Source organism: Homo sapiens, chromosome 1 (assembly GCF_000001405.40).
Source record: "Homo sapiens chromosome 1, GRCh38.p14 Primary Assembly".
NCBI lineage: Eukaryota > Metazoa > Chordata > Mammalia > Primates > Hominidae > Homo > Homo sapiens.
Window position 1 is genome coordinate 242,788,007 of NC_000001.11, and position 8,487 is coordinate 242,796,493.

General features: G+C 37.3%; 1 annotated feature.

The window, feature by feature from the left end:
• Positions 1–295: a silencer, noted in NCBI's record as "tiled region #9224; HepG2 Repressive non-DNase unmatched - State 24:Quies, and K562 Repressive non-DNase unmatched - State 24:Quies". NCBI's record gives its function as "represses a minimal TATA promoter and a strong SV40 promoter by Sharpr-MPRA in HepG2 and K562 cells {active_cell/tissue: HepG2 | K562}" and the evidence as "EXISTENCE:reporter gene assay evidence [ECO:0000049][PMID:27701403]".

Consider the following 8,487-nt stretch of genomic DNA (forward strand, 5'->3'; position numbering starts at 1 on the left):
ACCAGTATCCCATCCCCAACTGCATAACATAGCTCCTCTTACCTATCCCTAAACAAACTCCAGCTCAAATCAAAATTATGCCCATGACAGAGCCCCAGGGACTTTTAGGTGGTAATTACAGGCTTTCTCTCTCTGCCTTTCCTCAGAGCCACAGGAGACGTGCTCCAAATTTTTGCCTCTTTCTCCTTAACATCCCTGAAGGCTGAGTCATAGCACTGGAAGCTTTAGAATGTGTTCTTGCACACTGAAGGTAAAACACTATTTCTCCAAAAGTCATTACCTATTTGTCTTCCATCACTGACATAGGCCATTGTTGATTATAAGGATATTAAAGCCTGAAGCCTAAAGGCCTATGGGTGAAACATTCAATTTTTCAGTGTTATTTTGTTATTTTAAGAGCCTGTGTGACAGACATATTTAGGCTTAATAGTACCCTTAGGAAAATAAAAAGGAAAAGGCAAGATTCTATTTACTGTATATCCTTCCTCTTTCTTGGAAAATCTCACATTACATCGGAAAAACCTAAATTACATGAAGTTTACAAAATTGATTGCCTCATGAATAAACGGATTTATTATTTAAGATGCTGAGGAGCACATTTCATTATTCAGTATCCTTGGAACAAAATATTTGAAATGTGGGATGAAAAATTTTCAAGCTGCTTCGCTAAATGAGGTAGACCAAAAAGAACATCCACACATTAACATAAAACATTCATCAGGAGATCAGCTGGCAATGTGATGAAGAGAAATGGCTACATTTTTTAATTTCTAATCAGTCCCATTAAATGTGTGGCTTGTGGCCACTTTTACTGTACTGTACTGTGGAACTCACCTCAGATCATGAAGCCTGTATTTAAAGATTTTATAAACTATCCACTAGAAGGAACTAGAACCTTCTAAAATGATGAGGAAGATATGCATGACCAAACACCTTAAAAACCAATTAGTTTCATTACCTGTTTGGTTCAAGCATTGAAGTTCAATATTTCTGTAACCCACAAGCTTTCCACAAATACAGCAACCGAGAAACACTGTTTCAATTTTTAACGGTCTTGCCCAGTTCATATTTCCTGGCTTATCTCTGAACTCCCCTCATCTCCTCTCCCTAAGTCTGTTTATGATGTGCTGTTTTATCAAGGTCAAATTCCATGGGCAAGTCATCGGCTTCATCATTTGTCTCATAACATTTTCAATAAATGTTAGACCCTCAGGGTCTTTAAGACAATGTGAGATACATATATATATACATCTATGTTTACTTTAGAGAAAAACAGCAGGGGTTTCACATCTCACTGATTTTAGAACTAAGTATAGTGAAGGGAAAAAAGCTTAAAATAGGATTTTCAATCTGGAAGGAACATTTTGATTTTTCCAGCTAACTCCTTCCTTTGATAAATAAACTCAGAGAGGTAAAGTGATTTTCTTAATGTCAAACAGCCAGTTCGTTGCTGCACTAGAATTGGAACTGAGATATTTGACTTCCAGTCCTGGTTTTTATCATCATTTTTTGAAGTGGTGATCTGCATAATTTACCAATGTCTTCCTTATCCCCACATTAAGTTAGGCATCAAATCTTCAATGTATTTATTTTCTGGTCTTTCCTCCCCAGTGCTGGCACCACTGCCTGCTCCAGCCCCTCACTGTCTCCTTCTGGATACTGCGGGGTCCCTCTGCCCAGCTGTCCTGCCACAGACCCCCTCATACCAGCTGCTTCTCCATGAGGCTGCGAAATTACTCCAGCTAAAAGAACAACTCAGATCACAACTGCTTAAAAACTTCATTCGGCTTCCTATTGTCTCTAAAATCAAGTCCAAGCTCTTTGCCCTCTTTTACAATGTTCTTTGCAATTGTCTGGATCTCCAGCTCCCCCATGCCATCTCCACAAACTCTACTTTAGTCTTAGGGAGTATTTCATGTTCCTTTCCCCTGCCCACCATGGTTTTTGACATTCCTTGTTGAATTAGTCCGTTCTCACACTCCTATGAAGAAATACCTGAGGCTGGGTAATTTATAAAGAAAAGAGGTTTCACTGACTCACATTCCACATGGCTGGGAAGGCCTCAGGAAACTTACAATCACGACAGAAGGCACTTCTTCACAGGGCAGCAGAAAAGAATGAGTACAAGCAGGGGAAATGCCAGATGCTTATAAAACCATCAGATCTCATGAGAATTCACTCACTATCATGACAACAGCATGAGAGAAACCGCCATGATTCAATTACCTCCCACTGGGTCCCTCCCATGACATGTGGGGATTACGGGAATTATAATTCAAGATGAGATTTGGGTGGGGACACAGCCAAACCATATCACTTATCTATCTGGAAATACATCCTGTTTGTTTGATTACTGGGAAATCCCTAGTCATCCTTAAACAGCCATTCACTTCCTCTTAGCTTTTGTAACACTTTGGGAAAGTGTCAAGCCCACCTTGGTTCCTTCAATAATCTCTGCTGGTCCCCAGTCCCTCTCTCCAGCATGACTTGCTGGGCCACGCCTAACTTGCCCTGCCCACTGCATTAGCTCAGACCTGGCTCTGCCTCCTAGGGTGATTTTGCCTGTTCAAGACTCAGAATGTTTGGTTTCTTGATTCTCATGGCAATCTTTTTTCTTAACACTGGGTCTCTATAAATAATCATGTGTTATGACCTCCCTTGTTATCCATCCAAGACCCTGGCCATTTGCACCCAACAATGACTTCTCACACTAGGAATGTGCTCCCAAAGGCAGCTCACAGCAGGCCTGACCCATTGACCCAGGAGGATAGACAGTAAAAAGATTTATGTAGAACTTCTCATTCTGCAATGATGCAAAGTGCTTGCATGTTTGTCTACCTCTTTAAACAGTGAATTACTTAAGGTCAGAGACTATGTCTTCTTAATCTTTAAATGCCAATGTCTAAAACAGTGCCTGACATATAGCAAGCATTCAATAAATATATGAATGGGTGCAAGTGATAATGGTAACAATAAAGCCCAGTGAAGTGAACAGAAAGTTAGATGGGAAGTCATTACATTCCTGGACCAAAGAAGTTCATTCTGAAGAATAAATGGTGTAATATTATGATTTAGATAATAGAAATCAGATTCAGATACTAATTTATTTTATTATAATAAAATGCAATACAGTTGACCCTTGAACAAGAGGTTAGAGACACCAGCTCCCTGTGCAGGTGAAAATCCATGTATAACTTTTGACTCCCCAAAAGCTTAGTTACTGATCGCCTACTGTTGACTAGAAGCCTGACTCGTAACATAGTCAAGTAATACACATTTTATATGTTATGTGTATTATATACTGTACTCTAACAAAAAGTAAGCTGAAGAAAGGAATATGTTATTAAGAAAATCGGAGGGAAGTGAATATATATTTACTGGTTATTAAGAGGAAGTGGATCATCATAAAGGTCTTCATCTTCATTATCTTCACATTGAGTAGACTGAAGAGAAAGAGATGGGGTTGGTCTTGCTGTCTCAGGGATGGCAGAGGCAGAACAAAATCTACGTGCTAGTGGACCTACACAGTTCTAGCCCACGTTGTTCAAGGATCAACTGTAATTACAAGAGTAGACCATTGAGTTACATGCTCATTTCATCTGTCTGCATCAGCTAGGTTTTGCCGTGGTGACTAACAACCCCAAACCTCAGTGGCTTAAAGCAACAAAGATTTCCCATTCATTTTGCATGCCTCATGCGGGTGGATAAGGGAGCTCTGTTTATCAGAGTCACTCTGGGACTCAGTCTGATGAAGGCTTTATCTTAAAAAGTGTTTTCATGATGGCTGGAAAGTCGTGGACCAATGATTTCCACCCAAACCCATTTGCTAGAACCAGTTCCATGACTATGACTCACTTCAAAGAGACATGAAAAACAATCCTAATGCACTGAAAGGAAAGGGAAGCTGGATAGCAGTGAAGCGGTCATGTCTACCACATTCCACCCCACGGGTCACTACATACTCAGTTCTTCCTTCCCCGTGCAGAGCACACTTGCCCTGTCACATCTCTGCTCCAGCACTGCACAGTGGGTAAATGTGTGTTGGTGGTAGGGGAGGGAGTGAGAGCCTATCTTTTCAGCTCATACGTTTCTAGTTCAAGAGGAATTACATCTGACCTGACGTAGAAACAAATGTTTATTACCCACTTGTGTTAGTTTCTTAGGGCTGCTGTGACAAAGCACCACAAACTGAGTGGCTCAAAACAACAGATATGTATTGTCTCACTGTTCTGGACACCAGACAGCTGAAATCAAGGGTCAGCAGGGCCACATGCTCTCTGAAGCTTAGAGGGATAATCCTCCTTTCTCCCTCCCTGGCTCTGATGGTTTTCCAGTGAGCCTCAGCATTCCTTGGCTTGCAGCCCCAGCACTTTAATCTCTGCTTTTATTGTCACATGACATTCTTCCTTTGCATCTATCTCTTCTACTCTTCTTATAAGGACACCAGTCATTGGATTAAGACCACCCGAATTCAGTATGGCCTCATCACAACTTGATTACATCTGCACAGACCTTATTTCCAAACAAGGTCACATTCACAGGCACCAGGGATTAGGATTTCAACATATCTTTTTACTGGACACAATTCAACTGATAACACCTTCCACCTTCCGCTCCCTAATATAACCCCTCATATAGGCACTGTTGCCTGTCACCCAGAAATCATGAATTTTGAGCTCTGTGCCATGACTGGACAAGACTTTTGTGTTGATTCCCTTAGGAAGGATATTTATGTATTCTGTATGAGTGAAGGAGATTGAGCCAAATATTTGGTGTCTAGATGGCGGGCTACGGTAGATATTAGAGATCCCCACCAATATTACCAGTTGTCTTCCATCCAGTCAAACAATAAGAATAGAACTCCCTGCTCCCATGAAACTAGATGTGACTATGAAACTTGCTTTAAGCCAATGTAATGTGAACAGAAGTGATACATTTTATTTCTGGATACTAAAATTTAAGAAGCAAGGTATAATTTTCCACTTTTTCTTTATCTTCCATGTTGGCAAGTAACTTTCCAGATTGTGAAAATTATGTAATAAAAGTCCTTATGTGAAGACAGCATTAAGAATCCTGCCAAACTGACTTGTACTGAACATGTAGCATGAGTAATAAATGAATCCTGATAACAGTAAGACATTGAGTTGTACATGTATACACCCTATGACACAGCAGTTTCATGCATACATCAGAAAGATTCTTGCACATGTTCATTAAGGAAACATGCACAAGTATTTTAGTTAATAATATTATTTGCAGCAATAAATGGCAATCAGCTCAAATGCTCACCAATTGTAGGTTGAAATAAATAAATAACTTTTATATACATAAACTGAACAACATACAGCAATGAAAATGAATGGATTATAAACACAAATATCAATATGGATAATTTTTAAAACATCATATTAAGCAGTTATAGAAAATCTACATAGGTTTGATTGCAATTCTATAATTCAGTCAGAATTAATCGACATATTGCATAGGGATATAAAAATGTATAGTAATAACAGTGGAAAACACCAGGGAACAAAATTCAGCTAATTACTACCTCTGGTGGATATGAAGTATAATGCAATTGAAGAATGCACACAGAGAGCTCCTACAGTATAATTCATTTTCTAACATTGTTTGCAGGCACATGATATTTGTTTTATTATTGGTCTTCAAACCCCACATATATGCTTTTATGTACTTTTTGCAATCTATACTTCACAACTGTTAAAAATAAAGCAAATCTTAAGTAAAAATATATGTTTTATATATATAAGAATATATATTATATATATTCTTATATATAAAAATATATATTATATATATTCTTATATATAATTATATATAATATATATTTAAATATAAATATATAATAAATATAAATATATATTTTATATAATATATTTTATGTATTTATATATAATATATTATATATAATATATATTTTATATTATATTATGTATATTATATTATATATATTATATTATATTATATATATTTTATATATTATATATAAATTTTATATATAATATATAAAGCGCATTATAGAATGCCCTTGTAGAAGTTGATCTATAGAAGTTAATTTATACAAGTTAACTTCTAGCAATGTTAATTCGTGGTTAAGGAAGTAATTCCATGGTTATTTTTTCCGTAAAATGAAGTATAATTTTTTTGCATAAATACTTATTTTCTCACATCTAACTCTCTGCATCTCTCAGCTTTATTAAAGCAGGGCTGGCCTTTCACTTTTTAAATTTTTGTCCCTTTCCCTTTATGGGATTAAGGAGGAAAAATAGAAAATCACAAATATATGAAGGCCTCTTTTGGGAAAGGGGGATTGTCTTCCCATGCTAGTGAAGCAGCTACTCGATCAGCATATTTCCATTTTGTATCTTTATATGTTTTTATTATTTTAATGGTTTTTCTTTAAAATGTTTACCATAAATACTTCCTTGTAGCAAGATAAAAATTAATATCTAACCACTTTCCACAATAATATTTTAGAACTTTTTAATTCTCATATCTTTCCTGTTGAATTTTAATTATCATATCCTCCCCTGCTCTTTTTAAGAATATTGGTTCATTCCATTTTTAAACTCTATAAATTATCTTAACAATGCTAGTATAGATTTACTTACAGGTTTGACAATTCCTTTGCACCCATACTCCTTGGATCTCAGAAAATTCTTCCTCAGATCCTTTGATTTCTTCCTAAAGCATCATTTGGAATTTCCTTTAGTGAGAGTCTGTCGGTGGTAAACTCATATTTTTCTATTTTTGAAAATGTTTTCATTTTGCACTAGGTCCTAAAAGAGATTTCCCGGGCTTGTAATTCGAGATTAGTAGTTATTTTCACTCAGCACACTGAAGATATTAATCCATTCTTTTCAAGATTCCGTTGTTACTGTGCAGAACACCTCTAGCAATCTATTTCCATCATCTGTCTTGTCTCCCCATCTGCTTTTATGCTCTTCCGTTTGTCTTTGGTGTTTCATTATAAATCATGAGTTTTTCTTTATTTATTCTCCTGTGTGCATATTGTTGTGGAAATTTTTCAGCTATTGACGTTTCAGATTTTGCCGTTCTGTCATTCTCGCTATTTCCTCCTTTGATGAGATGCCTGTTAGATATTCCCACTCTGTCCTCCATAGCTCTTAACCTCTTTTTTTAGACAGTGCCTCCCTCTGTTGCTTAGGCTGGAGTGCACTGACATGATCTCGGCTCACTGCAGCCTCCACCTCCTAGGTTCAAGCGATTCCTGTGCCTCGGCCTCCTGAGGAGTTGGGACTACAGGCACGTGCCACCATGCCTGGCTAATTTGTGTGTGTGTGTGTGTGTGTGTGTGTGTGTGTGTGTATTTTTAGTAGAGATGGGGTTTCACCATGTTGGCCAGGCTGGTCTCAAAATCCTGACCTCAAGTGATCCACCAGCCTTGGCCTCCCAAAGTGCTGGGATTACAGGCATGAGCCATGTACTTGGCCAACCTCTGTTTCATATTTGTATTTCTTTTTCTCTCCCTGCTGCATTCTGGGTAAGTCCTTCAGAGCTCTCTTTTATTTCATTGATTATTTTTTGGCTGTATCTAATCTAATAATTGAATGTCTTACTTCAACAATTATATTTTTATTTTAAAATTTTTACATTTTATTTTTCCAATCCACCTCCTCATTTTGTAAAGCCTTTTGTTTCTTGCTTATTTTCATAATGCAATCTTGTATTTCTTTAGATATTTTATACATAATTAACTTATATTCTGTATTTGTTAGTCCAATATCCAAAGTCTTTGAGACCTAAATGTTTTATGTTCTTCTTAACGCTGTTTCCCTGTGTGTTTGTTGATGAATGACTGTGAGGTAGTATTTGGTTGATTTTGTCCATGGAAACCTTAGAGGCCTTCTCTCCAAAAGGATCTGTGTTTTCTTCTGCCCAGGCTCTGGGAGAGCATCACTGAGTTATAATCATTTCAGCTTCCTTCTAAGGTTTCAGGGTTAATGTGGAATTCTCTATCTTAGCTCCCCTGTTTTGCTGCTGGCCCAAAGATTAGACTCCTAGTCACAGGGATGACATTGAAATTATCCCTAAAATAATTCATCATTTAAGCCGGGCATGGTGACATGCACCTGTGATCTCAGCTACCCCAGAGGCGGAGGCAGGAGGACCACTTGAGCTCAGGAGCTTGAAGCTTATAATATGCTATGATTCTTCCTGTGAATAGTGACTGTATTCCAGCCTGGGCAATATAGTGAGATCCCATATCTTTCTAAAAAATTTTATTTTTGTTTATTGCTTATATCTTCTTTCTCTAGTTAACTCATTTTTTGGTGGGGAAAGTACGGAACTTTAGAGATGTCTTTAATTTCTTGTAAGCCCTGAAATGAATTAAAAATTGTGGGTTTCGTTTTTGTTTTCTGTTTGTTGTTGTTGTTAGCCCAACAGCTCTCCACAGCAGAGTTTATTCCACTATACTGCTCTCCAAATGTGTTCGGTTTGACT